The sequence below is a fragment of the Homo sapiens genome, chromosome 19 (genome assembly GCF_000001405.40).
Source record: "Homo sapiens chromosome 19, GRCh38.p14 Primary Assembly".
Taxonomy (NCBI): Eukaryota; Metazoa; Chordata; class Mammalia; order Primates; family Hominidae; genus Homo; species Homo sapiens.
Genome location: NC_000019.10, coordinates 57,957,484 through 57,974,827, shown reverse-complemented (window position 1 = coordinate 57,974,827; position 17,344 = coordinate 57,957,484). Strand labels below are relative to the sequence as shown.

General features: G+C 45.8%; 1 protein-coding gene across 1 annotated transcript; it reads left to right on the top strand.

The window, feature by feature from the left end:
- Positions 1-293: 293 nt before the first annotated feature.
- C19orf18 (chromosome 19 open reading frame 18) lies at positions 294-16,391 on the top strand. Its single transcript, NM_152474.5, has 6 exons — positions 294-516; positions 625-729; positions 2,324-2,365; positions 8,196-8,298; positions 13,277-13,437; positions 16,111-16,391. The coding sequence occupies exons 1-6, from the start codon at positions 396-398 to the stop codon at positions 16,224-16,226; spliced, it is 648 nt and encodes a 215-aa protein (NP_689687.1). The 5' UTR covers positions 294-395; the 3' UTR covers positions 16,227-16,391.
- The last annotated feature ends 953 nt before the right edge of the window (positions 16,392-17,344 follow it).

The window sequence follows — 17,344 nt, the reverse complement described above, 5'->3', positions numbered from 1 at the left end:
CACCGTGCCCATTCCTTTTTTCCTGAACATTTTCCAAGTGAGGTTGTTGGAAATCACGGATGGGGAACTATGCATGCGGAGGGCTGACTGTAATTGATTTCTTTCTGCCTCCTCACTAATCTGCACACTGCAGGCAGGGACCTGGTCTCATCATGCCTGCACCTCCAAGCACTGCCCTCTTACACTGTAGTCTCCCCATTGGTCAGCATGGTTCCATGAAGGAACTCCATTATCACAGCAAGGACTGACCTCACACTGGTGGCTCCAAGTCACTGCCCAAACATTCTGAAGGGAGTAGAACTTCTTGATTCCTCAGATAAATAGAGGACAGATGCTGGACTGTAGCTAAGTATTTCCTTTCATCTACGGGATAAAATACTGATAATTTGAGAGTGATGGACAAGGTTCAGAGTGGTTTCCTCATTTTGTTTTTGTTTTTAATGGAATGCCAACTTCATTTATGCTTGCCGTATGCAGATGGACTCCATCCCACTGGAAACATAACAGGCTTACCAGGTAGCTTCAACCACTGGTTTTATGTGACTCAGGGAGAATTGAAAAGCTGTTTCAGGGGAGATAAAAAGAAGGTAATTACATTTCACCGCAAAAAGTTTTCTTTTCAAGGCAGTAAACGGTCACAACCACCCAGAAACATCACCAAAGAGCCCAAAGTGTTCTTTCATAAAACCCAGTTGCCTGGGATTCAAGGGGCTGCCTCGAGATCCACGGGTGAGTCATTGAATTCCTCATTCAGTGGAGTGAGAATCGTAGCCTGGAGTCCTCTTATCTGCCATGTGAATGTGTACTGTGTGCTTGCTGGTAGAAAGGTCCATAAAATAGAGTATAATTAGATAAACATTTGCTTGGAAATTAGATCTTATGCTCTTCACTCTCTGTTAACTGCTTTCTCTTTAGGGATTGCCACTTTCTTCTCTTTTTCATTTCACTTTAATAAGCGCACACAAAAACCTTGATCCCATCCAGATTACACAGGTATGCCTGTCTGACTTGAATTTGGTGCACATTTGGCAGTAGAGCATGCAAGTCTAGACACAGAAGGTTTGTGAGTGTACAGAATTCTTTTTTTTCTTTTTTTTTTTTTTGAGACAGAGTCTTGCTCTGTCGCCCAGGCTGGAGTGCAGTGGCGCGATCTCGGCTCACTGCAAGCTCCACCTCCTGGGTTCACACCATTCTCCTGCCTCAGCCTCCCAAGTAGCTGGGACTACAGGCACCCGCCACCACGCCAAGCTAATTTTTTGTATTTTTAGTAGAGACAGGGTTTCACTGTGTTAGCCAGGATGGTCTTGATCTCCTGACCTCATGATCCGCCCGCCTCGGCCTCTCAAAGTGCTGGGATTACAGGCATGAGCCACCATGCCCAGCCGAGAATTCTTTATAAGCATTTTCTATGGTTCCCTTCTAATTTGAGTACTAGAGGATGTTTGTTTATCTTATAACAGCAAAACCAACCCCGACAATCTTTGAAGCTCAGCAACCCTTTGTGGAGATATATGATGCTTGTAAATAATCTCCATTCCATGCAAGGGAAATGCTGTCTGTGTGATACATTTGCATGTAATTTGTGTCCGAGGAAAGGACACTATTGTTGGTTCCCTGGCCTCTCTGCCTGGCTCTCTGATCCTTTTTTTTTTTTTTTTTTTTTTTTTTTTTTTTTTTTTTTTGAGACGGAGTCTCACTCTGTCACCCAGCTGGAGTGCAGTGGCGCAATCTCGGCTCACCACAACCTCCACCGCCGGGTTCAAGCAATTCTCCTGCCTCAGCCTCCTGAGTAGCTGGGACTACAGGCGCGTGCCACCATGCCCAGCTAATTTTTGTATTTTCAGTAGAGACGGGGTTTCACCATGTTGGTCAGGCTGGTCTCGAACTCCTGACCTCGTGATCTGCCTTCCTCGCTGGGATTACAGGCATGAGCCACTGTGCCCAACCCTTGCTGACCTTCTAATGAGGTCGTAGCCCCTTCAACTCTAAGTCTCTCCAGGTCCTTAATTTGGGCAGAGATTTCCCAACTTGTATGACTGCAAAAGGAGACCAGAAACCAAAAGTATCCTGTTCCTAAAGGTCATTCTTCATGACAGGAAGCACCAGGTGCAAAAAGAACAGCAGGCTCACCAGGCTTCTGCAAATTAACCCACACATTGCTGCCAGGCATTGGGAGGAATGTATTAACACATCCCATCTTAGATATTTGGAAGCTGTGTGTTCGGCGTCCTTCTCTAATGCTAAGTTATTTCCTTGTTTTCCCAAGTTCATCTTAAACCATCTTAAAGTCTCTTCTTTTTGATCCCCTTTGATGGCCTTTTAGCTGCATCCCCTACGAACCCCATGAAATTCCTGAGGAATAAAGGTAAGCCAAGGGATCTGGGAGGGCGGGTGGACCCGCAACATTCCTGAAGCTGTCGTGATGTGTGGCTCCAGAGGGTGCTGGCTGGTCACCAAGGAGCCTGCACACGTGGTGCCTTCATGTGTGTTAGACAAGGTGCCCCCTCTGGAGGGGGATGCGCAGTGACACCGCTTGGGGCAGGTGAGAAGGTGGCTCAACTCCACGGGCTGATGTTGTAGTGAGTAGAGCACAGGCTGTGTCTGAGATCTCTTTGTGGAACACACAAAATGCATGGGCACACACAGCGGCCCTGTCAGCAGCCTTTCTAGCAACTCTCCCCACTGTGGCTTGTCCTGGAACCTCCTCAACACCTCTCGCTTCAGAGTCCTCCAAAGCAGAAGGCACCTTGTGTCCTGCTGCTGCTCCCGCCCCAGAGCATCCTTCCTTCTCCTCTGCACATTTGCTAAGTGCCTGCAACAGGGCGGCTTCTGAGTCAGCTCCCCCACCACCTACCCATCTCCACTGCTTTCACATGTAGCCAGCATTTTATTTAATCACATATGCTGAGTGAGACATGCAGACACAGAAATGACTGTCATGAAGGAAGAAGCCTGATACTCACGGGTCCCTAGAAGCAGGAGTCCACACAAGGAAGCACCAGGGTCTATCAGAAGGCAAAGGGAGCCAGGAAAGTGTGAGCAAAAGCCTTTATTCTGGGCCGGGTGCGGTGGCTCATCCCTGTAATCCCAGCACTTAGGAAGGCCGAGGTGGATGAATCACTTGAGGTCACGAGTTCGAGACCAGCTTGGCTAACATGGTGAAACCCCATCTCTACTAAAAATACAAAAATTAGCCAGGAGTGGTGGTGGGCACCTGTAATCCCAGCTATTTGGGAGGCTGAGGCGGGAGAATCGCATGAACCTGGGAGGTGGAGGTTGCAGTGAGCTGAGATTGGGTCGCTGCACTCTAGCCTGGGCAACAGAGCGAGGCTGTCTTTTTTAAAAAAAACAACTTTATTCTGGTTTTTACAGGAAGGCAGGTAGGGAAGGCGGGCTTGGGATCAGCTTGAGTGATTTGGTGGCTGTGGGGCATGGGGTATGTCCCTGGTTGTCTGGGACCTGGCCCTGGGGTGGTTGGGGGCAGGGGATGGTGGCCTGGAGCATGAGGGCTCCATAGAGATTGTTGGGGTGTAGGCTTTGGGTGTGTCGGCTTGCACATGAAAGGTGCACTTGCAGGCCAGGGTTTACTATCTTCAGGAATTGGCTGGACCTGGGAGGGCAGTCTCTTCAAGGGTCAGTTAAGGCCCCAAGATGTCAAAGTATCAGGAAATACAGAAAATAAAAAACGTGATGAATACATCCATCCACGCCAAACACATTATCAATCTTCCTAAAGCTCAGCTATGACTGTTTCACCTGCCCATTGACACCACCATCACCAAAGCACAGAGCTTGAGTCCTGGCTGGGGTATCAAAGGCCTGCACACTGGTCCTTCTTTTGACACTAGCTCGTTTTGTGTGCTGGTGCTAGAAGGTCACTGAGACCTCTGCCACCCCTGAGCTTCAGGTCCCAGTTGTAGGTAGGATAGAGACGGGACAAAATTGTTTATCTAATAAAGTTGATGGTCCGGGTGCAGTACAGGCTCATGCCTGTAATCCCAACACTTTGGGGGGCTGAGGTGGGTAGATCACCTGAGGTCAGGAGTTTGAGACCAGCCTGGACAACATGGTGAAACCCCATCTCTACTAAAAATACAAAAATTAGCTGGGCATGGTGGAGGCCAGCTACTCGGGAGGCTGAGGTAGGAGAACCCGGGAGGCTGAGGTTGAAGTGAGCAGAGATCGCACCACTGCACTCCAGCCTGGCAACAGAGCGAGACTCTGTAACAAAAAAAAAAAAATTATATGGAAAGATGTCTACCTTACTCATAGTAAGAATTGTGCATTGAAACTGCCAAGCTTAAATAATGAAGTTCGACAAATATGATTAAGTACAGAGTTTATTTGAGCACAAAGCTTGAGGATGTCCACCCACGAGACACTGACTCCAAACTAATGGGGACAGCATTTCCAAAGAGGAGAAGTTATGGTTTCACTTATATGTGCAGAGACTGACATTGTAGCAGGATTGTAACATTTTCCATATGAGACGAGTGCATAAGTTACAGCTATTTGATTGGTTATAGACGGCAACGTTCCAAGGAAGATTATTGCTCTGTGAGGAGGGGAAGCCATCTGAGGGGGCTCTCACAGCTGGCACCTCTTGATCTTCTTATTTACAGGAAAAAAGGCAGAAGTTGCCACTGCATCCTTGTGATTCAGGCTGCATAGCCACATTGCTCTCAGGTTCAGAGTAGTTCAAAGTTCCAACAGCTTTAAGTTTAAATTAGTTTAAGTTTGAATAATTTAATTTCATAAAACTACACTGTAATTCCAGTTTTCAGCTATCCTGTTGAAAGTGGGCAAAATGTCTCATAACTGTATTGGCAAAGGAGCTGGGAAACATAATCTCATGTCTTGTTTGTAGGCTAGCAGTGAGCACAACTTCTAGAGAGGGCAATTGACAGTTCTCATAAAAACAATGCTATTACTTTTTTTTTTTTTTTTTGAGATGGAGTTTCAATCTTGTATCTTGTCGCCCAGCCTGGAGTGTAATGATGCGATCTCAGCTCTCCTGCCTCAGCCTCCTGAGTAGCTGGGATTACAGGCACCCATTACCATGCCCCGCTAATTTTGTGTTTTTAGCAGAGATGGGGTTTCACCATGTTGGTCAGGCTGGTCTCAAACTCCTGACCTCAGGTGATCCACCCGGCTCGGCCTCCCAAAGTGCTGGGATTACAGACATGAGCCACCATGCCTGGCCAAGGTGCTTACTTTGTTTTTTTTCTTGGTTTTTTTTTTTTTTTTTTTTTTTTTTTTTTCTGTTTTTTTTTAAGACAGAGTCTCACTCTGTCACCCAGGCTGGAGTGCAATGGCGCCATCGCGGCTCACTGCAACCTCCACCTCCTGGGCTCAAGTGATTCTCCTGCCTCAGCCTCCCAAGCAGCTGGGATTGCAGGTGTGCACCACCACACCCGGCTAATTTTTGCATTTTTAGTGGAGATGGGGTTTCACCATGTTGGCCAGGCTGGTCTTGAACTCCTGACCTTGTGATCCGCACACCTCGGCCTCCCAAAGTGCTGGGACTACAGGCATGAGCCACCGCAACCGGCTGGCAATTACTTTTTAACCTAGAGTGTTGAAATATACCTGGGGGATTTATTTTAATCAGTTATGGCAAGACTCCCAGACATGCAAATGATCTTCATGAAGGAAAAAGTTTATACTTATAGATTCCTGGAAACAGGAGACATGGCCCACCACACACGGGTACACCAGTAACCTCAGGAAGCACAGGGAGTGAGGGTGAGCAAGGTCCCCGCCTCTACTGGGGTTTCTGAGGGAAGGAATGGGTGAGGCATGGCAGGTACTCTGAGCAAATATAGATTTGAATAGTTTTGGTAAATCATAGGGATGGTTTCTAGTTGTCCAGTATTTGGCCCTGGGGTGATTTAGGGCAGGCAGGGAGAGATTGGCTTATTGTGTGAGTTTGAAAAGGAGATGGTTGGGGTGTGGGCTGTGGATTGGTTGGTTTGTATTTCAAAGATGTGCTTGTAGGGGAGTTATTCGCTGTCTCTAGGAAATAGCTAGCCCTGGGAAGGGAGGTCTCCAGGATTAAGGCCCCAAATGCCAGAGCATCAGGAATACGGAAAATAAGAAAATATAATAAATACACCCAGCAATTCCATTTCTAGTAAATTTTATTAAAAATATGCTATTCATTTTCCTAGTCTATTTCTCCCATCCTGCTTGGTGACTTTCTCATATATTTCTCTAGCTCTGTAAATATCTCAATGTATTCTACCCCAGCCTTGCTCTCCCAGAATGACCTTGTTTGCCTCCTTCACAAACAAAATACAAGCAGTTAAAAGACAGTATCCACACCCTCCTGTCTACCAGCAATCACACCTCCTTTCTCTGTCTCTTGCTGGAAATTGAACCGTCCATGCCAAGGCTGGCCTGTGTCCCAGCTTCCATCCTCTTAGGCCAACTCAAGGACTTTCCTGACAATTCCCTCTCCCTTTCCTGCATGCTCTGGTCTGAATGCTGGTGTCCCCCAACCCCATATTCAAGTATTGAAATCCTAACCCCAAAGGTGAGGATATTAGGAGTTGGGGCCTTTAGGAGGTGATGCGGTCTTGAGGGTGGAACCCCCATGACTGGGAATAGCACCCTTACAGTAGAAGTCACAGAGAGCTGTCTCACTCCTTCCACCCTGTGAGGACACAACAAAGAAGGCACCCTCTGTTGAACCAGAAAGTGAACCCTCGCCAGCCACCAAAGCTGCTGATGCCTTGATCTGGGACTTCCCAGCCTCCAGAACTGTGAGAAACCAATGTCTGTTGTTTCTTTGTTTCTTTTTCTTTTTCTTTTTTTGAGACAGGGTCTCGCTCTGTTGCCCAGGCTGGAGTGCAGTGGCACGATCTCGGCTCACTGCAACCTCCACCTCCTGGGTTCAAGTGATTCTCCTGCCTCAGCCTCCTGAGTAGCTGGGATTACAGGCGTGTGCCACCATGCCCAGCTAATTTTATTTTGTATTTTTATTAGAGATGGGGTTTCGCCGTGTTGGTCAGGCTGGTCTTGAACTCCTGACATCCTGATCCACCTGCCTTGCCTCCCAAAGTTTTTTTTTTTTAAGACAGGGTTTCATTCCCGTCACCCAGGCTGGAGTGTAATGGCGCAATCTCACCTCCCTACAACCTCCCACTCCCTGGCTCAAGCAATTCTCCTGCCTCAGCCTCCTGAGTAGCTGGGATTACAGGCACCTGCCACCGCACCCGATGAATTTTTGTATTTTTGTAGAGTTGGGGTTTCACAATGTTGCCCAGGCTGGTCTTGAACTCCTGAGCTCACGTGATCTGCCCACCTCGGCCTCCCAAAGTGCTGGGATTACAAGAGTGGGCCACCACACCTGGCTGTGTCTGTTGTTTCTAAGCCACCAAACCTGTGGTGTTTTGTTACAGCAGCCAGAATGAACTGGCACCGTAGTATCACGATTCACTCTTTCATTCCCATTCACGAACATGCTGCCAGTGTTCACATGTTAAAAAACAAAATCCATCTCTCGATCCCTTAGACTCCTCCAGGAGCTGTGCCCATTTCTCTTCTTTCTTTTATACAAAGTTCCCCAAAATAATTTTCAAAATTCATGGTCTACAGTTACTTTCTTCTCACTCCCTCCTGAAACTGCTTCAGTTGTGTCCCCACCACACAGCTAATATGGCCTCTGCCCAGGTCTCTAGTGACCTCTTGGATGCCCAATCCCCAATGGTCTGTTTCAGTTTTCTTTCTTTTTTTTTTTTTTGAGACGGAGTTTCACACTGTTGCCCAGGCTGGAGTGCAGTGGCATGATCTCGGCTCACTGAAAATCTAACTTCAGTATTTTCTAAAATTAAGAGTCCTAGCCTGAGCAACGTGGCAAAATCCCATCTCTACAAAAACACAAAAAAATTAGGCAGGTGTGGTGGCGCATGCCTGTAGTGCCAGCTACTTGGGAGGCTGAGGCAGGAGAATTGCTCGGACCCGGGAGGCGAAAGTTGCGGTGAGCTGTGATCATGCACTGCACTCCAGCCTGGGTGATAGAGCGAGACTCAGTGTCAAAAAAGAAAACAAAACAAAAAAAAACAAAACAAGCTATTTTTGAAAGTGTTTCTGGTTTTGACTTCCATTCCCCTCTGTAAGGACAAATATATTAACTGAAAGACATAGCTAAAATGAACATTTTTGAGCACTTCTTTTCTTTTCTTTCTTTTTAGCAATAATTCGGCATAGACCTGCTCTTGTTAAAGTAATTTTAATTTCGAGCGTAGCCTTCAGCATTGCCCTGATATGTGGGATGGCAATCTCCTATATGATATAGTAAGTATCTGCTAAGTAATATCTGCTGTCCTTAAATGAGACATAACAAGTCAACTGATTATTATTTAATGTCAAAGGATGATGATGATACATCTTATAATTGCTAAAGTATTGGTCATTATAAATTTCCAGATTAGTGTTTTTCAACATGTGGATTGTACTCATGTTGAGGCATGATACACATGAAAAAAAAAGAAAGAAAGACACAGGACAGAATACAATTCAGCAGAATAGAAAATATTAGAAAATATTACGCCGGGCATGGTGGCTCACGCTTGTAATCCCAGCACTTTGGAAGGCCGAGGCGGGTGGATCATGAGGTCAGGAGATCGAGACCATCCTGGCTAACACGGTGAAACCCCGTATCTACTAAAAATACAAAAAATTAGCCGGGCGTGGTGGCGGGTGCCTGTAGTCCCGGCTCCTCGGGAGGCTGAGGCAGGAGAATGGTGTGAACCCGGGAGGCGGAGCTTGCAGTGAGCCGAGATCGTGCCACTGCACTCCAGCCTGAGTGACAGAGTGAGACTCGTCTGAAAAAAAAAAAAAGAAAAAGAAAAGAAAATATTACTTAAAGTATTAATGTAAAAGGCTGATTTTTAAACTTTTCAGATACATGTGAGACATGCACACACACACAGACACACGGTTGTGAAATAAAATATATTTCTTACTGGGAGTCATGATCAAAAATGCTTGAAAGACACAGTTTGAGATGCTAGCATCCTCCCAAAATTCAGTATTTTATTTTATTTTATTTTTTCTACTTTTTTTGGAGGGGAGGGGACGGAGTTTCGCTCTTGTTGCCCAGGCTAGAGTGTAATGGTATGGATCTTGGTTCACTGCAACCTCTGCCTCCTGGGTTCAAGCAATTCTCCTGCCTCAGCCTCCCAAGTAGCTGGGATTACTGCAGGCATACGCCACCATGCCAGGCTAATTTTGTATTTTTAGTAGTGATGGGGTTTCTCCATGTTGGTCAGGCTGGTCTCGAACTCCAGACCTCAGGTGATCCGCCTACCTTGGCCTCCCAGTGCTGGGATTAAAGGTGTGAGCCACCATTCCCAGACCCCAGAATTTGGTATTTTAAAATAAACTTGAGGCCGGGTGTGGTGGCTCATGCCTGTAATCCCAGCACTCTGGGAGGCTGAGGCGGGTACATCACCTGAGGTCAGGAGTTCAAGACTAGCCTGGCCAATATAGTGAAACCCCGTCTCTGCTAAAAATACAAAAATTAGCTGGGCGTAGTGGTGGGCACCTGTAATCCCAGCTACTTGGGAGGCTGGGGCAGGAAAATTGCTTGAACCTGGGAGGCAGAGGTTGCAGTGGGCAGAGATCACGCCATTGCAATTCAGCCTGGGCGACAAGAGCAAAACTCTGTCGCAAATAATAAATAAATAAATAAATAAATAAATAAAATAAAAAGAACTTGCTACTCTGGAAGGAATCTCAATAGTGCACAGCAGAAAAGAGCGACCACTCTCCCTTTCACTAGAAATGTGTCAGTGCAGTCTGGGGTGATAGCAGCTTTGGGGGAAGTTACATCACCGTCTTCGCAAATAAAGCTTGGGGTCAAGCTGTTTTGAGTGATGTAATCATTTTGAAATTCACGGTAGAAAAAGGTGAGACACACTGTGATCTCATGCGGTTCTGACCAAACCAACAGATTCTGACTCCTACTGTATGATTCCGTGCTAGGATTCCATTGTATCCCACCAGAAACAGCTTGAGAAGTACAAAATTGCTTGCTTCGTTGAATTAAGTGTGAAAACAAGATATATTGCCATGTGTGAGATATTTTCTGAGGCAGCTATGTTAAGACCACCTTGGAGTAGGTCACATGAAGGCAAAGTGACATTAAAGGTAAAAGGGGAATTTTGCTAATGAGAGCGTAACCTGCGTGCTTGGTTGTGGGTTATCTCCACTACATCCGCTTAATTTATGTAAATGTATAGGCCGGGGGCATTGGCTCACACTTGTGATCCCAACACTTTGGGAGGCCGAGGCGGGTGGATCCCTTAAGCTCAGGTGTTTGAGACCAGCGTGGGCAACATGGTGAAACCGCGTCTATACAAAAAATACAAAAATTAGCCAGGTGTGGTAGCACGCACCTGTAGTCCCAGCTACTCAAGAGGCTGAGGTGGGAGGATGGCTTGAGCCCTGGAGGTGGAAGTTGTAGTGAGCTGAGATTGCACCACTGCACTTCCTCCTGGGCGACAGAGTGAGACCATGTCTCAAAAACAAAAATTATGTAACTGTAGCTTCTGTATATTTCATTATTATAACAAAACTATTAATAAATATAAAGTTTTGTAATGCAACTCAGTAAAACATATCTCCTGGACACTCAGTGTTGAATTGAGTTGCTGAGCTAGTCAATTCTTATTGTTTTCACATTTGTATTAGCACTAAGCTATAGTGGAGCCTGGGGCCAAAACCAAAACCAAAACGAAAACAAACAAAAAAAACAAAACCACCTGTTCAAAAGTACAAGTTTTATGTAATTTTTAGTGGTTCATTTTTTCCAGAAGTAGATTTTGAAAATACTATTGGTAAGTTTGCTTTTATTTAAACCAGGAAAGTAAAATTACAATTAATTTTGTTTAGGGTAGAGATAAAATATTTATTTTTATTTTTATTTTTTTAGAGACGGAGTCTTGCTCTGTTGCCCAGGCTGGAGTGCAGTGGCGTCATCTCAGCTCACTGCAAGCCCCGCCTCCCAGGTTCACGCCATTCTCCTGCCTCAGCCTCCCAAGTAGCTGGGACTACAGGCACCCGCCACCACGCCCGGCTAATTTTTTTTTGTATTTTTATTAGAGACGGGGTTTCACCATGTTACCCAGGATGGTCTCAATCTCCTGACCTCGTGATCCGCCCGCCTCGGACTCCCAAAGTGCTGGGATTACAGGCGTGAGCCACTGTGCTTGGCCTAGATAAAATATTTAAACTTAATGTTGTGACTTTTCATACACCAGTTTTCAATTATTAAATATATTCTGAACTTCTTAAGTGTTTTGGAAAAGAATAAGCATTTAAAAATACATTAAAACGTGTATAGGGACTCACACCTTTCCTTTTGACTCAAGCTCCCCTGTGGTTTAGCACAGCACTGTTTGGATCCTATCTCTGTTTACAATCTTGATATTTGGTATATCCTGGATTTTGTTTTTTTTGCTTCATTTCAATTTTTAAAAATACTGAGTTAAGGACCGGGCGCGGTGGCTCACGCCTGTAATCCCAGCACTTTGGGAGGCCGAGGTGGGCGGGTCACCTGAGGTTGGGAGTTCGAGACCAGCCTGACCAACATGGAGAAACCCCATCTGTACTAAAAATACAAAAAAATTAGCCAGGCATGGTGGCACATGCCTGTAATCCCAGCTACTCGGGAGGCTGAGACAGGAGAATCACTTGAACCTGGGAGGTGGAGGTTGTGGTGAGCCAAGATCGCGCCATTGCACTCCAGCCTGGGCAAAAAGAGTGAAACTCCATCTGCAAAAAAAAAAAAAAAAATTGAGTTAAAATACTCATCTTCATTTTTCACTGTTTGGGGTACCTCCTTACATTTCGCACTGAGGCGAGCACCTCCCTTTTGTCACTCAAATCTTGCTCCTGTCCCAGCCTTTTGAGCAAGAAAAACAAAAAATAAACTAACCCTAAAAGTTTTTTGTTTTTTTTTTTGAGATGGAGTTTCACTCTTGTTGGCCAGGCTGGAGTGCAATGGCACCATCTCAGCTCATTGCAACCTCCGCCTCCCAGGTTCAAGTGATTCTCCTGCCTCAGCCTCCCAAGTAGCTGGGATTACAAGCATGTGCCACCACGCCCTGCTAATTTTGTATTTTTTTAGTACAGACGGGGTTTCTCCATGTTGGTCAGGCTGGCCTCCAACTCCTGACCTCAGGTAATCTGCCCGCCTCGGCCTACCAAAGTGCTGGGATTACTGGCGTGAGCCACCGCGCCTGGCCCCTAAAAGTATTTTTTTAATATATAATTCACACAGTACTGGGAAGGTAAGTATGTTAGGAAAACACTGTCATCCATTTCCACACCAAACAGAAATAGCTGTTCAGTGATCCACTTCCAGGATTGGACCTACAGTGAGGTAGAAAAATCAGTAACACCCATTCTGTCCTATTTTGTTCATCACGGATTTCTTGACATTAATTTTTATTTTGTAAAATATTACACTGAAACATGATTATGGCCGGGCACAGTGGCTCACACCTGTAATTCCAGTGTTTTGGGAGGCCAAGGAGGAAAGACAGCTTGAGCCTAGGAGTTTGAGACCATCCTGGGCAACATAGCAAGACGCAATTTCTAAAAAAAAAAATACAAAAATAATTAGCCGGGCATGGTGCCACGAGCCTGTGGTCCCAGCTACTTAGGAGGCTGAGCAGGTAAGACTGTTTGAACCCAGGAGTTGGCAGCTGCAGTGAACCATGATTGTATCAGTTCACTTCTAGCCTGGGTGACAGAATGAGACCCTGTTCCAAAGAGAGAAAGAGAGAGAGAAAGAGAAAGGGAGAGATACAGAGAGAGAAAGGGAAAGAGAAAGGGAGAGAGAGAGAGAAAGGGAAAGAAAAAGGAAAGAAAAGAAGGGAGGGAGGAAGGAAAGAGAGGAAAGAAGAAAGAAAAAGGAAAAAAAAGAGAAAGAAAAAGAGAAGAGAAAGGAATGGAAAGAAAGATGATTTGTTTGATTATGGATTTTTTGTCAACACCTTAAGTTTGGAACCCAATGTGAGTGCCTTGTTCACGTCTAGTCCTGGCTTTGATCCATGCTTTGGGATGATCGGAGTTACTCCTTACTCCAGGAAATGGCCTGACCATGTAGACAGTTGAGAGCTGACCATGATTAGTCTGGTTTCAAAGTCTTATGTCTGCACCCACTCCACAAGCGACTCCTTTCCTGTCAAAAAGTGGCATGGTTGAGAAATGAATTATTCATCATGAAAACTGTGCTTCTAAATTCATTTATATCATTCTCCAGTCGACTGGCACAGGCTGAGGAAAGACAACAGCTCGAGTCACTTTATAAGAACCTCAGGATACCGTTATTAGGAGATGAAGAAGAGGGCTCAGAGGACGAGGGTGAGTCCACGCACCTACTTCCAGAGAACGAAAATGAGCTGGAAAAGTTCATCCACTCAGGTAGTGTGACCTGTAAGAGCTATTCGCAGGAAAGCCAAGCTGGCAGCGGCAGCTTGCGTTTCTTTTCTTTCTTTCTCAGCGGTGGCTTGCATTTCTTTTCTTTCTTTCTTTCCTTTCTTTCTTTCTTCCTTCCTTTCTTTCTTTCATTTTTTTTTTAAGACGGACTCTTACTCTGTAGCCCAGGCTGGAGTGCAGTGGCGCGATCTCTGCTCACTGCAAGCTCCGCCTCCCAGATTCACGCCATTCTCCTGCCTCAGCCTCCCGAGTAGCTGGGAGTACAGGCGCCCGCCACCATGCCCGGCTAATTTTTTGTATTTTTAGTAGAGACGGGGTTTCACCATTTTAGCCAGGATGGTCTCGGAAGGCAGCTATGCTCACCACTATACCACCAACGCTCGGGTGCCAGGATGGTCTCGATCTCCTGACCTCGTGATCCGCCCGCCTCGGCCTCCCAAAGTGCTGGGATTACAGGCGTGAGCCACCGCGCCTGGCCTGTGGCTTGGTTTTCAAAGGCAAAGATAAGTGGGAGTTAAGGGAGTTTGAAGTAAGAGAGACAAATATTCACAGCCACACTTACGGAAATGAACCTTTCTCATCAAATCTTACAGAGGGGTGAACAGCTGTGGGGTTGCTCAGTTCCTTTTGCAGGGCAATTCCACGGATCTAACAGAGTTCAGGAAACAAACTTTTCCCAGCACAAAACATGTTTCCGTTAAACATACTCATTACCGTGATGTTATCCTGCATTCAGAACACAGACACGCAGATGTTTCACCTGCACCATCTGTCTCCATCTGACGTGAAAATGGGATCCAGACCCACAAAATAGAGGTCACTACCCCAGGGTAAAATTTCCCAGCATGCCATGCCCACCACAGACATGTTCTGCTGTCCTTGTGAGAAGAGGATGAAATTGATTATTTAAAACTGATTTTGTAGAAGTTCTTTTTTTTTTTTTTTTTTTTGAGGCGGAGTCTTGCTCTGTTGCCCAGGCTGGAGTGCAGTGGCATGATCTCAGCTCGCTGCAAGCTCTGCCTCCCGGGTTCACGCCATTCTCCTGCCTCAGCCTCCCGAGTAGCTGGGACTATAGGCACCCGCCACCACACCCAGCTAACTTTTTGTATTTTTAGTAGAGACGGGGTTTCACCGTGTTAGCCAGGATGGTCTCGATCTCCTGACCTTGTAATCCACCCACCTCAGCCTCCCAAAGTGCTGGGATTACAGGCATAAGCCAATGCACCCCGCCTGTAGAATTTATTTTATTTATTTATCTTTTTTTTTTGAGACAGAGTCTCCCTATGTCACCCAGGCTGTAGTGCAGTGGCGAAATCTTGGCTCACTGCAACCTTTGCCTCCTGGGTTCAAGCAATTCTCCTGCCTCAGCCTCCCGAGTAGCTGGGATTACAGGCGTGCACCATGACCCCTGGCTAATTTTTGTATTTTTAGTAGAGACGGAGTTTCACCAGTTAGCCAGGCTGGTCTCGAACTCCTGACCTCAATTGATCCACCCGCCTCGGCCTCCCAAAGTGCTAGGAGTACAGGTGTGAGCCACCGCTCCTGGCCTTTTTTTTCTTTTTTCTTTTTTTTTTTTTTTTTGAGGCAGAGTTTCACTACGTCACCCAGGCTGGAGTGCAGTGGTGCAATATCAGCTCACTGAAGCCCCAACCTCCTGGGCTCAGTTAATCCTCCCACCTCAGCCTCCTGAGTTGCTGGGACTACGGTGCATGTCACTATGCCGGGCTCATTTTTGTTTGTGGTTTCTTTTTGAGATGGAGTCTCGCTCTGTTGCCCAGGCTGGAGTGCAGTGGTGTGATCTTGGTTCACTGTAACCTCCGCCTCCTGGGTTCAAGTGATTCTCATGCTTCAGCCTCCCGAGTAGCTGGGATTACAGGCACATGCCACCACGCCTGTCTTATTTTTGTATTTTTAGTAGAGATGGGGGGTCTCACCATGTTGGCCAGGCTGGTCTCGAACTCTTGACTTCAAGTGATCCGCCCTGTTCAGCCTCCCAAAGTCCTGGGATTACAGGCATGAGCCACTGCGCCGGGCTAGTTTTTGTATTTTTAGTAGAGACAGTTTTCACCATGTTGCCCAGGTTGGTCACAAACTCCTGGGCTTAAGAGATCTTCCCGTCTTGGCCTCCCAAAGTGCTGGGATTATAGGTGTGAGCCACTGAGCCCAGCCTAGAAGTTCTGAGATTCGTGGGTACCTGTTTAAAAAATTCTAGAGAGAAAACTATAGAGAGTGTAGTGTGTGATTCAGACATACTAACCATCCTCACATGGACTCACTCTCTAAAAACTCCAGACATAGCCAGAAAGAGGCAGAACAGCCACAGCAGGAGAGATCACTGATGCTCACTGAGGCAGAGGACTTTGTCATAACCTGTAGAAAACATTTTCCCAATGTCTCTTTACCACATTGGATTATAAATTTTCTACATTCTTCTTCTTCTTTTACTGGGCATTTATACAACTTGAATACAAAATATGGGAAAATAATTTTAAAATTTAATTTTCACCATCCTTGTCAGACAAATAACATTCATTATGAATCCTCTGAAAATTCCACTGTTGGTACCTCTATTTTTCCAGGCTTTTTCCCTCACCCCTTTTGTCTCCATTTTTATTCCTCACTTATTACTATCTCAATAACATCATTTCTACATTTTAGTTATTATATCAAAAAGAAGCAAAAATATTAAGAAGAAACTGAAGGAAGAGCAAAACTCAGTAACAGAAAACAAAACAAAGAATGCGTCACATAATGGAAAAATGGAAGACTTGTGAACGCAGACGACAGAGGTGCCGGCTGAGGCAGAGGAGAAACTATGGGGGTGCTGGGAGACTGAGCCTGTGGGCGTGGCTTGCTCCCAGAGAACCTTATGGAAGAGGACATCAAAGAAAGAAATGCCAGACCTGTATCCCAGAAAATAAAGCCACATGATATAGCAACTCTTGCTTATTGGCTCTCATAGTTGATGAATAATTATAACTTAATTGGAAAATAGAATAGAATCCAACTTTGTTAAGGGTTAAGAGAACTTGTCAGGATTTTCTTCTCTTGCTCCTGACCAGAAATACCGCACAAGTAGTTTTGGGGGGCCATCTCCCAGACTAGCCAGGGAATAGCTTTCATGAAGCAAAACTTTCCTGGTGAGATTACCTGTCAGCTCCATACCTTGTTTCCTTTGTACACATGAGGAAACTGAGGATGTTAAAATAAATATGACTCCGGATTAAAACACACTCATCATTAGTCAGGCATGGTGGCATGCGCCTGTAATCCCAGCTACTCAGGAGGCTGAGGCAGGAGAATCGCTTGAATCCGGGAGGCGGAGTTTGCAGTGAGCCGAGATCGCGCCACCGCACTCCAGCCTGGTTGACAGAGCAAGATCCTGTCTCAAAAATTAATTAATTAAATAAAATAAATAAATAAAATAATTAAATAAAATAAGTAAAACACACTCATCCAGGCCAGTCATGATGGCTCATGCCTGTAATTCCAACACTTTGGGAGCATGAGGCAGGCAGATTGCTTGAGTCCAGGAGTTCAAGAGCAGCCTGGACAACATAGTGAGTCCCCGTCTCCACACAAAAAAGAAATACACACTCATCGCCGTCAGGTTCCAGCTCTCTTGAGGGAAACAGGCCCACAGGCAAGGAGCTAAGAAACACGGCCAGAGGTAGCAAGTGGACACCAAGGGCTGTGGGAATGCAAAGAGGCAAGAGTGAGTGAAACGGTGCGGCTGTTTTGGAAAACAATCTGACGGTTCCTCAGAAAGTTAAACATAGAGTTACTGTATGACCCAGCAAGTCCACTCCTAGGTGTACATGCAAGAGAACTGAAAACACATGTACACACAAAAACCTGCACACTAATGTTCTTAGCAGCACCATTCATAAGA